The sequence below is a fragment of the Homo sapiens genome, chromosome 2, assembly GCF_000001405.40.
Source record: "Homo sapiens chromosome 2, GRCh38.p14 Primary Assembly".
Lineage (NCBI taxonomy): Eukaryota > Metazoa > Chordata > Mammalia > Primates > Hominidae > Homo > Homo sapiens.
Genome location: NC_000002.12, coordinates 191,294,566 through 191,311,876, shown reverse-complemented (window position 1 = coordinate 191,311,876; position 17,311 = coordinate 191,294,566). Strand labels below are relative to the sequence as shown.

General features: G+C 41.0%; 1 protein-coding gene across 13 annotated transcripts in view, besides 1 other annotated feature; it reads right to left on the bottom strand.

Annotated features, from left to right (window-relative positions):
- The window catches only part of MYO1B (myosin IB), a 179,983-nt gene that overhangs the window by 113,510 nt on the left and 49,162 nt on the right, over positions 1-17,311 (bottom strand). For all 13 annotated transcript variants that reach the window (XM_047444410.1, XM_047444412.1, XM_024452914.2 and 10 more), the window contains one exon: positions 15,651-15,766. In XM_047444410.1, coding sequence (XP_047300366.1) covers positions 15,651-15,766 — 116 coding nt within the window. The remainder of the gene's footprint in view (positions 1-15,650; positions 15,767-17,311) is intronic.
- Positions 7,041-7,959: an enhancer, noted in NCBI's record as "H3K27ac-H3K4me1 hESC enhancer chr2:192168644-192169562 (GRCh37/hg19 assembly coordinates)". NCBI's record gives its function as "activates a minimal SCP1, AML or CMV promoter by ChIP-STARR-seq in primed H9 embryonic stem cells {active_cell/tissue: H9 hESC(primed)}" and the evidence as "EXISTENCE:reporter gene assay evidence [ECO:0000049][PMID:30033119]".

Sequence of the window (17,311 nt, the reverse complement as noted above, 5' to 3'; positions counted from 1 at the left end):
ATGTTTCCACACTTCCTCCTTCCCTATACCCACATTCCAGGTAATGAGTAACCAGATAGCCATGACTCACTCTATCATGTAATCTTAAATAGCTACATGTGTTCATTTTATAATTTATGCCTTTAACATCTTTATACTTCAGTAACACTTTTCTTTAATACATTTCCCTGACCTTAGATGAGAGTCTGCCATTTTGAATGTCCCTTTTTTAATCCATAATGCTATTCACATGAGAAAAATATGCATAAGCTTCTGCTATTAATAACGGCCAAACCAATTATAAATATAGATAGAAGCAGCAGCAACACTGCATGGCCAAACGTGAGGTAGGGTGTATGAGTGTGAAAATATGTCTTTCGAAGGCAAAGCAACGGCTTAAAAACTAGCAATTCCTAAAGAAACATCCAAGGGCCCTTAGTGACCCATCCTTCATGAAAATATAGAGGATAAAAGTAAAAATGAAACCCTCCGGTCTTAAGCCAGTAACCTAAGACCTTCCGCAGGTAACCTATGATTATGCCTGCATGTGTTTTCCCAAGGTAGAGGTCTGTGGTGCAAAACCATCCAAATCATCTCTCCCTCCAGGTGCTAAAACAGCCTAAGTTTTGGCTGTTGATGTGGACTGATGGAAAAAGATTAGTAGAAAATGTATATACTCTAACTTATTCCTCTCTTGTTAAATTTATGTGAAAGCAGGCTAAGTCATCTATAAGGCTTAGGAAGTTCCTACTGTAACTGAGGATACAAGGATATTCTTTTTGGATCTCAAGCTGATCACCTATGCATCCAATGAACACTAATATACTAAGGGGGTGGCTTCAAAGGGTTTCGTAAGAGTTAATAAAGGTTAAAATCAGTATTCTTCATATCAAATGTTGCCCCTTCCTAAATTACATTGTGACTCATCACCAATAGCAACTAGAAATTCTGTTGTAAAACAAATGAATTAACATCTGTTTACACTTATATCATTTCAACATTAAATCATTCACCACTCATTCATTAAAAAATTGCATTTACACACATATACACTTAGGCATATTTAACAAGTCTGAAAATTTTTTCCAGTTCATGACTGAAATGCAAGATGGCAATTTTTCCAGACACATAGCTTGCAATTTTAAGTAATTTCCTTATCCCAAACTCTCCTCCTATTACTTTGGAATAACCTTCATAATCCTTCAGTCTTCCCAATGATTCAAGCAGATTGGTATTGGAATGTTTTATTAAAATTGAAAAATAGCTCTACATTCTCAACTCTAATACCGTTTCCCTTTCCTAACATTCAGGGTCATTATGCCATAGCCAAAACTGGTCTTTTGTCTTATCTTCTATAAACTACAAAAGCCACCTACTTCAAGAATTCCTTCTTCAGGTCGGGCGTGGTGGCTCATGCCTGTAATCCCAGCACTTCGGGAGGCCGAGGCAGGCAGATCATTTGATGTCAGGAGTTCGAGACCAGCCTGGTCAACATGGTGAAACCCCATCTCTACTAAAAATACAAAAATTAGCCAGGCGTGGTGGCACATGCCCGTAATCCCAGCTACTCAGGTGGCTGAGGCACAAGAATCACTTGAACCCAGGAGGTGGAGGCTGCAGCAAGCCAAGATTGCGCCACTGCACTCCAGACTTGGTGAGAGTGTAAGATTCTGTCTTAAAAAAAAAAATTCTTCTTCAAGACTCAACACAAGTGGCATCTTCAGAATTTCTGAACCCACCAATTTTTCTGCACTTCCAACTTGTTCCTTGTAAGTATACTGTTACATTAAAATGCAGCTTATGTAGCTACCCCCAACCCACAACTAGAATGGACAATCCTTAAAGACAAAACCATGTCTTCTACAGTTTCTAACCAACAGCAGCTCTCCCACTCCCCACCAATCTATTCATTCATTCACTCACTCCACCAATATTTATGGAGTGGCTGCTCTGCGCCAGGCATTGTTCTAATTACTATGGATACAGGGATGGTAAAATAAAGCGCAAGTGCTCATGGAGATGACATTCTAATGCAAAAGACAATAAAGTAACAAAAAATGAGCCCATGGCAAGATGTCAGGTAAGCACAAATGCTCTGAAGAAAAATAAAGTAGCCTAAGAGAATAACAGGTGATTGGGGAAGGACTTGGCTATTTCAGGGATTGCTATTCCTGATTGCAGTAAGAGAACAAGTCAGCCCCTCTATGGTACAAGAGTGATGCTGACAGTGGCATGTTCAAGAAGCAGCAAGGAGGACAGCGTGGCTGGGGAAGAGAGGGTGAGAAGTAACAAATGCAGTCAGGGAGGTGGCCAGAGCCCAGATCAAGTGGAGCCATGCAGGCCACAAGGGAGTTGCTGCAGGTTTTGTGAGCAGCAAAGAAAAACAATCTGATGGAGATCTTTAAAAAAGATCACTCTAGGCAGTGGCCATAACATTCATGAAGATAAGAAAGTTGGCGGTTGAGGGGAGGCAGGCGGAGGCAACAGGAGAGTTGAAGCAGGGACACAGTGAGGAGGCCACCAACATAATCCAAGCAAAGGAGGGTAGTGGCCTGGCACACGCACAAGTGGCTATGGACGTGGTTAGGATGATCAGGCTGATGATGGACTGAGTGTGCAATAGGAGAAAAGGAAAAAAACAGTTTTGCATCGAGTAACCAAAGGATGATGCTGCCACTGACCAAGGTGAGAAAGAGAAGAGGGAGTGGGGCAATCCTAAGTCTGGTTTGAAGCGTGCTAAGGTGTGAGATGCCCCTTATCCAAAGAGATGCTGCAGAGCTCAACATAGCTGGATCGCCTGCAGGTCAGGCGAGAAATCCAGCTGAAGATCTAAATCCGGGAGGCATCATCAGCACACAGAGGGTATTTGAAGCCCACGTAGGCTCATCTAAATAATGCCTACAGAGGAAAAAAGCAAAGGTCCCAGAGTGGAGCCCCTGGACTTGCCACGGGAATGCGGAGGCTGGATATGGAGCAGCCAGCAAGGCGGGGGAAAGACAGGAAAATGTGGAGGCCAGAAAGCCAAATTTTAAAAGGGTTCCAGGAAGGAGCTGGTCATGTTGTCAAATGTTGCTGATAAAGGAAGAAGAGGATTCAAAACTGACCATGGGATTTGATAACATGGAGGTCACAAATGATCTTGAAAAGAAGTTTTAGTGGAGTGGGAGATGAAAGCCCAATTAGAGTGATTTACAAAAGAAAAAGAGATGAACTAGAGACAATAAGCATACCCAACTTTTCAAACAGTTTGGTAATAAAGGAAACAAATGGCATGGTAGCTAGGAGATGTGAAATCAAGAGAAACATTGCAGCATGTTATGTTGGTGGGAATGGAAGAAGAAAGAAAAAAGATAAGGCAGTAGACAGGGGAAATGACTTGGAGGGGTTGAATGGGATCCTGGGCACACAACACTCAAATGTTTATTGAGTTGAACTGTTGCTACCCTTAAACATGTCTTGGAAAAAGGTGGCCTACTAATTCAGCTTTCTAAAATTGTATACAGAAACTCCAACAATAACCTGGCTTCAGGAAGCCAGGATTCGAGTATTTCAGGACAAGCTTTCTATGGCTTCTTAAGAACAATGTATAATACACATGTCCACATCTGTGGTATAAAAACAAATGTATCTGGTCTTTGTCTCAGGTTCCTGACACAGGGCTCCTAAAGCCTTTGGAATTTCCTGGGTAACAGGAGTATCTTGTATTATTCATAACAAGTCCCTTTCGCCCATACCTGAGGTTATGCAAATGAGGGGACTCAGGTGGGGCCCCTCAGTAGCATCAGGATAGGGATGTTTACCAGAAAGACCAAGCCTGTGATTAGAGTGGGGGGGAATCTTTCAACCCCACCTCCCCACCTCCAGGGAGGGGAGGGGAGCTGGAGATTGGGTTACAAAAATTTGAACACAATTCTGTTTTTTTGGGGAGATGGAGGGATCTAGGTTGGTGAACAGACTGACATGCTGGGAAGGTGGTATTCCCAGAGTGCACAGAGGCTCTGCATACACACCCCCACCGTGCCCTCTGCAGCTCTTCCACTGGACTGTTCCTGTGTTGTATCCTTTATAATAAACCAGTAAATGTTAAAAAACGTATCATCCTGAGTTCTGTGAGTTGTTCTAGCAAATTATTGAACCTGAGGATCATGGAAACCCCCAAACGTGTGGGGTTGACTAAGCAGAAGTGTGAGTAGTCAGGGTACCCCATTCATGGCTGGTGTCTGAAGTGGGGCACTCTTGTAGGACTAAGCCTTTGACCTGTGTGGTCTGTGCTAACTGTGTAGTTAGTGTCAGAACTGAGTTTGTCGGAGGTGTTCGAACCAGAGCAACTCCATCTTGAATAGGGGCGCGATAAAATAAGGCTGAGATCTACTGGGCTGCATTCCTAGAAGGTTAGGCATTCTTAGTCACAGGGTGAGAGAGAAGGTCAGCCCAAGATACAGGTTATAAAGACCTTGCTGATAAAACAGGTTGCGGTAAAGAAGCTGGCTAAAACACACCAAAACCAAGATGGCGAGGAAGCTGCCCTCTGGTCACCCTCACTGCTCATTATACACTAATTATAATGCTTTAGCATGCTAGAAGACACTACCAGCAGCGCCAGGACAGTTTACAAATGCCATGGCAATGTTGGGAAGTTACTCTACGTGGTCTAAAAAAAAAAACAGAAGGAACCCTCAGTTCCAGGAATTGCCCATCCCTTTCCCGGAAAACACATGAAAAATCCACACCTTGTTTAGCATATAATCAAGAAATAACCATAAAAATGGGCAACCAGCAGCCCTCAGGGCTGCTCTGTTCATGGGATGAAATGACCATTCTTTATTCCTTTACTTTCTTAATAAACTTGCTTTCACTTTACTCTGTGGATTCACCTCGAATTATTTCTTGCACAAGATCCAAGAACTCTCTCTTGGGGGACCCCTTTCCAGTAAACAAACTGAACTGTTGGACACCCAGTTAGTGTCAGATAACTGGTTGGTGCTGGGGGAAAAATGTCACACACCTGGTATCAGAAATGATGTTAGAAACATACAATTATCTGCTGTCAATTACCTGGAGCCATGCTTTTCTAGGTACCCACTACTGCTTCCCAAGACTATCTCCAGGCTATTGCAATTCCAGGGGTTGCCTGGGACTCTGAACCTCTCCATCCCAGCCAGGAATTGTGACTGGGCTCTGATCCCCCTTTCTCCCTCTGATCCCCCTTTCTCCCTCTCTCTTCACCTTTTCTGTTCAGCCACTGCATCCTATGGATTTGCCTCTAAAGTGTCCCTCCCATCCTCAGATGAGCCTTCTGTCCTTGTCCCTTACTGCAAAAGCCTACCACGTCCCTAAACCTAAACCTCTCGTTGAGTTTCTCTTTTTCTGTACACCCACAGCAGTTCAAATCCCAAGGCTCATATTCTCTCTCCTCCTACCTGCTTAAAAATCCTTAGCACAAAAGTTCTTTGTGACCTGGGTCTGCTCTTCCTCTTCTACCTCATCTGCCCATCCTCAGTTTGCACCCTAGGTTCCAACCTTAGGAAACCACACGAACTTAGATCACTGATGTGCCATGCTGTTCTAGCTCGGTCTGTCTCCCCTTCAGACCTTTGCATCTGCTGTTGCCTCTGCCTAGAACATTCTTCTCTCAACACATCACGTCTCTCCCTCTTACCCCTAGACGATGATACTGAAATATAACATCTCAATAAAGCACTCCCTGGTTACCCTATTTAAACCAGTAAACCACTCGTGACTCCCCCACAGCCCTGATGCCCCTTCCCCACGTTGTTTCTCCACAGCACTTGTCACCATTTAAAATGCCATTTGTTTTATTAACGTCTCTTGTGTTTTGTCTCTCTCTGTGCTAGAATGTAAGCACAAAAAGGCCAAGATTTTTGTCCATTGTGTCCCCAGTAGGTACACTAGTACATGGCTCACGGTGGGCACCCAAATAACGTATGATGAATGACTGAGTCAACACTGTTCCCTCTGACTAGAAAATTCTCTCCTGAGCCTAGAGTCCTATTCTTTATCCATGCGGCAAACTCATCACCTAAGGGTCCTCCATCCCATCTCCTAGCTCCTCAGGCAGGGCTGTACCCCATTTCCCAGGGGACCACACCACTTACTGCTCATTCTCAGACTCTTCTGTTAATTCCAAGAGCACTATTAATAATTATGCTGCTACAAAAGGAATCACCAGGGCTACCCAGGGCAAACCAGGACATGCCCCACCTTTTTTATGGCTGCTTTCTCCCTTCGGTATTTATTTATCAGTCTGTCTCCCACGCCAGCCTGTGAATCCTTAAGGGAAAATTCATCTTTGTATTCCCAGCACCTCAACATGTTGTGGATGCTTAATCATGTTTATCAGATGAATGAACAATCACTTGCACTTGGGGATCTGGGATCCCTGGGACAGGCTGGAACTGGAACCTGGGGCTGGTACGCCTGGGCCTGTTCCCCTCTACGTGAGTTTCTACCCCTGTGGTGGCCCCATCACCACCCTCAGTTCCGCAGTCTCACGACTAGGGCCTCATATTCGCTCTGCTGAACACTTTCATTATCCCTGGCTTTGCTAACTTCCCTGGGCTGGCTGGATGGGGACCAGCTTTTGTCAGCCCCTGTTCAGACAAATCCCCACAGGGCTCCTTTGGCCCTACTTACCCTGCCACACCAGTCCCAGCAACAGATTGTGGCAAAGATTCCAATTTCAACAACAAAGGGTGGGGCCAGCACCCCTCCCACCTCCCTAGACAAGGCTTCCCAGGTGGGTTCCAACTGTGGCTCTCTCTGTCAGGGATGAAGTAATTATACTAATCCTTCAGCAGCCAAGGCCTCAGTGCTGCTTCTCCAGATGAAATGGATCTTTTCCAGGATGTTGCAGAACTTCTCAGAGTCTGTCAAAGGTCAGCCACATCTTGGCAGTTAGCAGCTGTTTTGCTGAGAACCAAACTTTTCCCTTTAAGATTGTATCACTGAAATTATCGTGTATGCCGGTGTGAACATAGGCTTGGCTTCACAAACAGCATTTTTACAATAAACTCTTTCGAGTCTGAGATGTGCATTTGGTGAGAAGGGATATAAACTCTAATTGAGGGTCTAGAAATTAGGATTCTGAAACTGCCCAGATGTACCAGAAACACTTTTCAATTAATAAATGTATTCTTATATCATAACAATTTTCATGATAAAAACATTAGGCTGGCATCAAATCAACCTTCCTACTTGAGTTTTAAAAGCTTCATGATCTGGAAGAAAAATTAGCTGAGGTCTCTTTCTGCTAAGAGTACATATCCTGAAAGAAACTGGGTTGTTGTTGTTGCTGTTGTTGTTTTTTGAGATGGGGTTTTGCTCTTGTTGCCCAGGCTGGAGTGCAATGGCATGATCTCTGATTACTGCAACCTCCGCCTCCTGGGTTCAAGCAATTCTCCTGCCTCAGCCCCCCGAGTAGCTGGGACTACAGGCATGCACCACTACGCCAGGCTAATTTTGTATATTTATTAGAGACAGGGTTTCTCCATGTTGGTCAGGCTAGTCTCGAACTCCCAACCTCAGGTGATCCACTCACCTTGGCTTCCCAAAGTGCTGCGATTACAGGCGTGAGCCAACGTGCCCGGCTGAAAGAAGCTGTTTTGAAAATAGCCACAAAAAGCAACATACTGGGAAGAAAACTTTGAAAGTCAAAGGCAGCAAGTTCAGTTCGTGGAGCATTTACAGAAGCTAATTAGGTGCGACGCCCAGAGATGTTTCCCACTGCAGACCCAGCCTCAGGAAGCTTCAAGTCAACAGCAGAGCTTGACCACCACATGGACATTGCACTGCTGATATGAAACTCGCCTAAGTCAAGAAGTTTTCTAATCCTTGTTGTCCAGAATCAAACAAATATCCCCCAAGACTGACAACAAACACAGTGCCTGCCTTCTGCTTATTTTGACCCATGACAGTCATGCATAAAAGGAAAAGGGTAATTTTAGCTATTTTCAAGATGGTGTCATTACACACGAGATGTTTATTTAAGGCATCTAAACTGGAGAGCAAACAAAGCTCTAATCCCCTTCTGTACAAGCTACTTGCGTAGATCTGAGGCCTGGACAGATGCAAAGCCTTGCAGACCACAATCTGTCATCTACTGACTTAAACTGCCTTAGATATGGCTCAAAGGGGGTTTTATAAGAATATCCTTTAAGATTCAATTTTTTTTTTTCATGAAAGCTTCCCTTCCTCTGCTCTTCCCTTTTTCCCTTCTAACCAATGGTGTGTACAATCTTGACTTCTAAATACTTAAGCTGGAGTTTAGCCTCTCTCATGAAGACAGGAATTTTATCTGTTTTGTTCACTGCTGTATCCCAGTGCCTGAAAGACTGCCTGGCACAGGGTAAGCTCTCAATAAATATTTGCTCAGTAAATGAATATCTCTTCTACAGTAATAAATAAAAAGAATGCTAGATGGGAAAGCATAAAACCCTTTTCTGCAACTTATTTGTGGAGACGTACTGGATCAATTTAAGGGCTCAACTATTCCAAAAGTAAAATGAAAGAAATAACACAACAGCCTCAGCAACATCACATCAACACACACACGCACACACACCCTTCAGAAAGCACTTTCACATCCAGTTGCACAAGCAACCTCTACAGGAGAATTCAGAATCTACTTGCAATAAGAGCTCTCAAACACAGCTTTAATTCACAGAATTTCAACTCCGTTGCAGAAAAAAAAAACTGACTACATAAAAGAAATAATGTGTGAGTCTTCTGCCCTGGAATCTTAACCTAACCTCTGTATACTCAACCACAGCACTGGTACATTTTGAGATATAGTCAGAAATGTTCTTTATAAAATTACTTTGGTTCACCTTGAATGGAGTAAAATGGTAACAGGATCAACAAAGACTCAAAACACACAAGCATTATAGCAACATCACTCATGGGCAACGGTATGTGATCCTGAAAAACCAGTCTGGCCCAAAAGTAGGGGTCAAAGAGTCCACAGACGGAGGGCTCACTTCTGGACAACTGACATTAGCACTATACCAGGTGCTCCCACTAATTGCTTACCCATTTTTAAATGAGGGTAACCAGAAATTATTCAAAGCTGTAAGCCACTTGTCTAAGTTTTAACATTTGTTGCTGAGTTTGTAATTTACTAACATGGAAAGACTGCTTCACCTTGTGACTGCAATGCCTAAGGTAATATGGCCATCACATTATATCCTAACTTAAGAAGGACACATCTCAGCTCACTCCTGGGCTATGACCACCAGAGGGCTTGTTGCCAGGTACCACAATACACTCTTCTTCTGGTGGCAAGTTCCTTCCAATAGACATACAGACAACATGAACAAATCGAAGCTGAACAAATACTTAAGAGTTGAAGAGCACCATAAAAATATTTTTGCTTTTTTTAAAAAATGAAAAAAATTCTCATTATACTGCATGAAATTTTGAATAAACTCCACAAGTATCCTATCAAGTACATTTTGATTTCATTGAACTCTCAGCCATAACACAGGTAAAATGTAATGAAAAATCACCTAAAATCTCTTTTGTTTTATAGTTGTTGAGCTCTGAAGAGAAAAGCACTGGAGACAGCCACAGAGATGTGCAGGATAAAGTTTCTAACCTACAGAAGCTTCTATCTCATTCAAGAGGGTGACACCAAAACCTAATCAACCATAGCAAGAAGAGGTGTGTTGACGACCACGAGTGGTCTGATAACTCAGGGCCAGTGCAAGTCCCTTGTGGATTATGCTGGGGCTGACCAAGTCTTTCAGACAGACCATAGAAGACTGGCAGGATTTTAACAGTGGAGATAAGGTACAGGGTATGAGACGTAGAAAGGAAAAGACATGAATGGCTCTGGCTCAAGAGGAGATTCCACAAAGGAGAGTAGTGGGGTTTGGAGGAGAGCAGGGAGGACAGCTAAAGCTGGACTGTAAAGGGCCTTGAACACTACACTAAAGGAACTGGGAGTAATAGGGAGCCCATGAAGGTTTCTAGGAAGGTGAGTAACATGATCTGATTTTAGAAGATCCATCTGTTGGTGATAAACTGCATCAACTGCTGCAAGGTTAAAAGGCAATCACCCAACACAAAAGGCCAGTGGATTTGGTAACTAAAATATCTGAAGGTGCACTGTCACAGTGCTATTGCAACTAAGTGGAAGGAGATTAAGTATCGACTGAGTATCGCTTAACCAAGATGTTTGGGAGTAGAAGTGTTTTAGATTTCAAATTTTTTCAGATTTGGGAATATTTGCAGATACAAAATTATCTTGGGTATAGGACCCAAGTCTAAACATTAAATTCATTTATATTTAATATACACCTTATATACATAGCCTGAAGGAAATTTTACCTTTCTCTTAGGGACACGGAATCAATTCTATGTTGCATGACTGCATTTTGACTGCATTTGGAGGTCAGGAGTGGTGTTTTCCACTTGTGGTGTCATGTTGTGATCAAAAAGTTTCTGATTTGGATCATTTAAGATTTTGGATTTTCAGATTAGGGATGCTCAACCTATAGTTTGATTATTTCCCTCATCTCTCCCTTCTCAGCCTTTCCTTATCAATGCTGTTTGGGAATCTGAGGCAGTTCTCAATGAATCCAGTTACTGAGTTTTCTGAAATGTTTCTGAAATGTCCTCCCTGGAATACATTTTTTACCTTCCTTATTTTCAAAGAAGTTAAAAATCATACTGGAAAGACATCACTTACCTAACTAGAAAAGCAAATGGTGGTATAGGCTCTGCCACACAGCACAGCCACATTTCCTTGGGGATGCCACCCAGTGATACCCTGCTCAAAGATGTGGCTTCACACGTAACGGGGACAGTTCAGAGAAGGAAAGGAGCCGCAGAGGAGGAGTCCAGCTGAGGAGTTCCATGTTTGGGGGACTAACAGACCCACAAATGATAACAGAAAGCTATTTTTGAAAGGAAAATAGGTAGGAAACCAATCTATACATTTCCACGATCTGAAAGTCATATACTTATACAAAATGGAATTATTTTTTAATTACCTAAAATTTAAAGAAAGATAAATTGTAGACACCTTCAAAACATATGAATTACAAAAGTATCTGGATGCTTTTGCAGACTAACAGTGAACACAGCTCAAATTAAATTCCAAATGTAAGCCAGGTGCAGTGACATGTGCCTATAGTCCCACCTACCTACTCAGGAGGTAGGAAGATCTCTTGAGCCCAGAAGTTGAAACCAGCCTGGACAACATAGCAAGACCTCATCTCTTAAAAAAAAAAAAAAAAGGCTGCGCACAGTGTCACACCTGTAATCCCAACACTTTGGGAGGCGGAGGAGGGTAGATCATGAGGTCAGGAGTTCGAGACCAGCCTGGCCAATATGGTGAAAACCTGTCTCTACTAAAAATACAAAAATTAGCCAGACGTCGTGGCGGGCACCTGTAGTCCCAGCTACTTGGGAGGCTGAGGCAGGAGAATTGCTTGAACCTGGGAGGTGGAGGTTGCAGTGAGCCGAGATCGCGCCATTGCACTCCAGCCTGGGCGACAGAGCGAGCGAGACTCCGACTCAAAAAAAAAAAAAAAAAATTGACAAGTAAATTTCAAATGTAATATTGGGTAAGTTAATTGGCAAAGTTTTCAAAGTATGTAGTCTGAGCAGCTGCTTAAGTTGTTTTCTATTCAAACTGGAACTAAATTCATGAAATATTTACAGTTAGAATGCATCAAAAGCTAAGGTCATCTTACCCCCTTACATCACAAACATCCTGTTTGAGAATGCCAGGCTGTTTTAGTAGGGAACCAAGTTAGCATTGACCCTGTTTCAAAATACCATCAAAGATGAACATCTGCAAAGAAAAATGCAGGAAAATACACTAAAGGAAGTGGAAAATGACCCACCATGCAGAAAGTGGTGAGACAGAGCATGTGAGAATGTTGGAAATGTGTCCCACATACCTTATTATTACAACAATTGCTATAATTCTCATTGTTAATAGAAATAGCTTTCCTTTCTCACAGAGTTATGGCAGATTCCATGCTAAGCACCTTATACGTATTAGATCATTATCTAAATATCAACTACATATTTGGCCCTCACAAAAATCCCAGGAGTTAATTAATAATTCTTTTCCCACTGAATAAGCTAATTACTTAATTTCTCTGAGTTGAAGTTTTTCAAGTAATTTGCTCAAGATTATATAGCTTGTAAATGGAAGACCTGGGACTTGAACCCAAGTCCTGTTCACTATGTTTTTACTGAACCCTCATCAAATTCTTAGACAAATCATCCCTTAAACAAACATTAAATAGTAAATGTGGCAAAAGCAACGGATCTAGCCTTAGTACGGAACAAGTGAGGACGGTTCCTCCCTAAGAGGTCTTCTGCAATTTGAGGTCTGAAGGAAGAACACGAGTTGCTTTGGAGAAAGAGGGAAAAGCATTCCAGGCAGAAGGCACAGAATTCTATGCAAGGATGCTCCCATGAGAGGGAATGTGGTGAGGGTGGGGTGAGGACTGACAGAACAAGCAAGATGGGAGGGAATGAGAGGGATCTGGCAACTTCAGATGCATTAGTAAAACTGTACTTTGCTCACCACGTAGTGCTTTGTAGGCCATGGTAAAAAGTCATTTTCTTTATCCTAAGCACATTGAGAATGTATTTTATTTTAGTGCTCGTGGTGGTTCTTTTCCTTGGGGGTGAGGGGTGTGAACTAGAGTAGCAGTGCCATGCTGCCTCCTACAGGAATCTTCCAGGCACCAGGATAAAAATGTATATTCTGGAGCATGAACTTCTATGACCTAGAATAGACTTCTAAACATTCTCTATCTACCCAAACATTATATATCTAAACATTCCCAGAATGGAGATTAAAGCTGAAAATGCAAAAAGAGCATGTGGACAATTGCTGGGGGTAAACTGAGGCACAGTCAAGATTATCCTGGAGGGTTTGTGGTGTAGGAACACAGGCGAACCAAAGGTAGTGGGGTGGAAGTGCACAGGAAGAGGCCCTGTCATGAAAATGGCAAGCCCATTTCCAGCTAAGAGGGGCAACCAATGTTAATACCCCGGCTCCACTCCCACCAGCTGTGTGGCTTTGGATAAGTTACTTGATCTTTCTGTGACAATTTCCCCATTTGTAATAGTGCCTATCTCACAAGATTATTTTCAGAATGAAATGAGTTATAAAACGTATAAAGTATTTAGAGCAGAATAGTAAGTACTTAATAAAATATTAGCCATAAATACTTTTATTATTACTATTATTATTGTTAAAGATCACAAATTGCAGTAAGTAGTTAAGAAAGGAAAGAAAAACATCTTAAATATAGATCTAAAGCAACACGTTCTCAGACTTACATGCGCCTAAGAATCACCCAGAAAGCTTGTGAAAAATGTAGATTCCTGGCTTATGAGAAGTAAGACCTAGGAATCCAGATTTTTTCATAAGCCCCTGGGGGAATTCTGATACAATTGGTCCAAGCACCATACTTTGAGAAGTGGGGCTTTGAGGACTAGAATTTAAAATATTCAGGTATCAAATAAAGTATTTCATCACAGGGGCTTAACTATCAGGATAACTTTATAAAACAAATTTCAGATATTATTTGTCTTAAGGCAAAATGAAACAAGAACACTTGCAATATCTACTTCTAGAAGAAAACAAAATGATCAGAATTTGCTTGACTGGTAAAATATACCAGCAGATTTATTCATTAATAACCATTTTCATACATTTAAATAATAAATAATCTTTAGTTCCAAACAGCCCAAATATATCGCTGCATGCTGCATTATCAAGAGAAACTAAAACAAGCATCTGGACAGTGGTATATATATGTTCCTTAATTATTAGATTTTATGTTCTGTCAAAATTAATAAAGCCAATCTTTAATCATACAGAGAAAATCCTTTCTGCTAGGACATAATGAGACTTTCTGCAGGTTCTTTCACTTCATTTCAGGGTTTCTCAACCTTGGCACTATGGACACGGCTAACAGACAACGCTTTACTGTGAAGGGCTGCATATGCTTTGAAGGGTGCTTAGCAGCATCCCTGACCCACTGGCAGCAAGCACCCTCCTACCCCCAGTTTCACAATCAAAAATGTCTCCAGACATTGTCAACTGTCCCCTGGGGTTTTAAACTGCCCCATTTTGAGTACTACTGCTTTCGGTAAAAAGACTGAAAATGTCTCAACTCTAAAGTGACCCAAATTGCCAGCTTAACCATTTTCAAATGCCCCGCTACCAATATGCCAATGACCAATAAATCTTTTCCGCAACCAAGACATTTACTGAACATTTCCTCATCAATATCTACATGCACATGTATTTATGTGCATTTCATGACAATTTGGGGTTGTTTTCAGCATATCATCTGTTTTGAGAGAGAGAGGATGATGCTACTGCGAAAAAGTAATAGCAATGGTGGTAATAACGAACAACATAACTTTGTAGAATGCTTGACACCTTCCAAGGCACTTTTGCATACGTTATTCCCAGCCCACGTTCAGCAGCAGTTCACAAATATTCTAAATCTGCATTCAACAGTTTATTGCATAAAAGATGTTATGCTGCATCAACCAACTCCCGTCTGCAAGACACCGTGGGCCCCTTGCAGCAACTGACAATCATAAGTACGTGAATTCTGGTAAAAATGCTTGCATGCCCACAGGAGAGGAGGCAGGAAATGTTTCTGCCTAAGCAACAAGCGGAGAAGTCTGAGGCTCTCAACTCATTACATGACTTGGCCCAACTTAGCATATTTCTCTTTCCTTTAAACTCAGTAGTGGACATGAGAATGTAAATGGTGAACATATTTGTCTTGAATCAGTAAATGTAACATAAGAATAAATAAAAAAGTTTTTTGAGAAATAAAAAGTTTAAGGTATTGTTTGTGATAATTTCTGGGTATTCTCTCTCCAACTTTCTTTTTCAGATATTTTTATTTGGAGGAATAAAAGTTCTAGGGTTGAATAACCCGGTTCTACCACGGATCTACCAAATCCAGGCAAACTTTTCCAGTGTTATGTTTCAGTCATTCAGACTAGAAAACAAAATTGTAGTGGTATAAAGTGGCCAAATCATTTCGGCATCTCTTAAGCACGTCAACGAAGAACTCTAAAGGAGCAGACAAACAGAATCTACAGGTACTGTGAAGGAATTATTTACACTAACAAGTGACCTTCTTCAGAAAAATCAAACAAGTGACTTTCCAGAGTAAGTGAAATCACTGGCCTATCCCACGCATCTGGTGAACATTGTCTGCAAAAATTACAAACTGAAGGTATTGTTTGGTCCTTTTACCCAAACACCATCACACAACCCAACACTCAGGATTTTTCTTGGCCCAACAACACTATGAAAAAGCTGCTTAGGCTCTTTATAATAATAAACAATGCACATTCCTGTTTTATTTGCAAAAATAATTAGCAGCAGCTGCTACTTGCAAAGAATTTTGAACAGAAAATATTTTACATCCTGAATCCAAATATTTCAGAAAAGTCTGACGTCAAATGAAGTATTCTGCCTTTTTTTAATTTAAAATAATAACAATTAAAGTCTTCATACTTTTATCAAACTTTTTAAAAAAAACTGACAAAAACATTATTCTGAAATTCAAAGGAGACAGCTGCACACATCTGTCAACTACACATCTCTGGAGTAAAAGAGAAACTTAATGCTTTAGTACAGTACTTACATGTGAGGGCTCAGTTCATAAAAATTTCTGTTCCTGTATTCTTCCACTTTCTCTGGTGAATAAATGGGTAAAGACCGGTATGGGTTAACAGATATAACCACACTTCCAATGTATGTCTGCAAAAGAAAGAACAAAACATGCCCATTAGTTAGTACACAAAATGTATTTTAACGTCTTAAGCTTTAGTGTTGTATGGTTTCAACCTTTTAAAATCAACACTAGTTCTGCTTCACCATTCATTGTATACATTTTAAGAATGCTTTGCATCTCTGAAGACAGATGGTCAACAATGTCTATTTAGTTTGTTGATAAATGGAAAGCATACATTTATATATTTAAAATCCTTTCAAAGTATATCTCTGAACTAATTTACGGTTCTCGGTAAGAGTTCTCCAAAGCCCTGTCATATTTTCCACAAATTTTGTCACAAACTACTGCTAACTGTAAGCAAGAGCCATGCTCTCCCTGATTCTAGATAGAGCTATAGTTCCCCTTCTTCTCTCATCTTTTTCCACCTTTTTAGTCAACAGTATCCCAGTGTTCCCCTCTTCCCTACCCACACCTCATAGGGCCTTCCCTTTGGCACTGGCCCTCTGCAAGTCTGTCAATCTTTCCACAATGGGCTCAGATCACGTTCAATTCAGTATCAGAGCTACAGGTATCTCTTGGACATTCAAACCACATAATCTCATTATATCTAACATAATATCAGAGTTTTAGTGTCAAATTTAAAGGTACTTTCCAGAAAGTACATTTAATGTCAACATTTAAATTTAATGTCAAATTTACATTTAATGTAAAATTTAAATGCACTTTCTGAGGGATCAGTGCTATATTTTAGCATGTACTAAACTTTTCTCACTGAACTTTAAACCAGAACACAATTTCTCTTCCTGTCTACTTCGACCCTAAATTCCTGGCAGCACCAGTGGTGCTGGTTTAGTTCCTTCTGTGCAATGCCAAGGACAATGCCACAAGCAAACGTCACTTAACTGTAACTTATCTTGGCAGCTCCATTTTCCCCTTCAGTTTCAACATCATAAAAGACAGGAGGGGGAAAAAAGGTGCCAACAAAAGTGGTAAAGTGATAAACTAAGTGATAAAGTGATGAGCGATATAACTTTTAAAAAGAAAAAGGTTCATAAAGGAAAGAAAGAAACAAGGGGAAAAAAAGATCTCCAACTTCCCACCTTTCCAATGTCATCCCACAAAAGGTACCATTTTTAGAGCAACAAGTTTTTCCAGTATTACCACCACTGGGATTCAAAAAGACTGTCAGATATTTCTAGAAAATTAAACAGAATAGAAAATGAAGGAACGTAGAAATGTTCTGCTGACTTTTTTTTTTCTTTTTACAGGGGTCACAATGATATTAATTATGAAGGACTTTCTCCCAACTAGGAAAACTGAACAGGTTATATATATATATAAACACACTTTCATCCTGTAAGAATACTATCTTGTCAAAGGTGGACAAATATTATCTTGTCAAGGGTGGACAAGATTGCTGTTGTAAAAGAAAACTCTCAGTTCCCATGCAATTTTTCACATTTATTTCTAACATTCTATCACTAGGACCCAATTAATCTGGCCTCACAAACAATGACAAAACTTTCTCAAGGTTTTCTGGTTGTCCTCACACTGCAACCCACCTAGGAGAT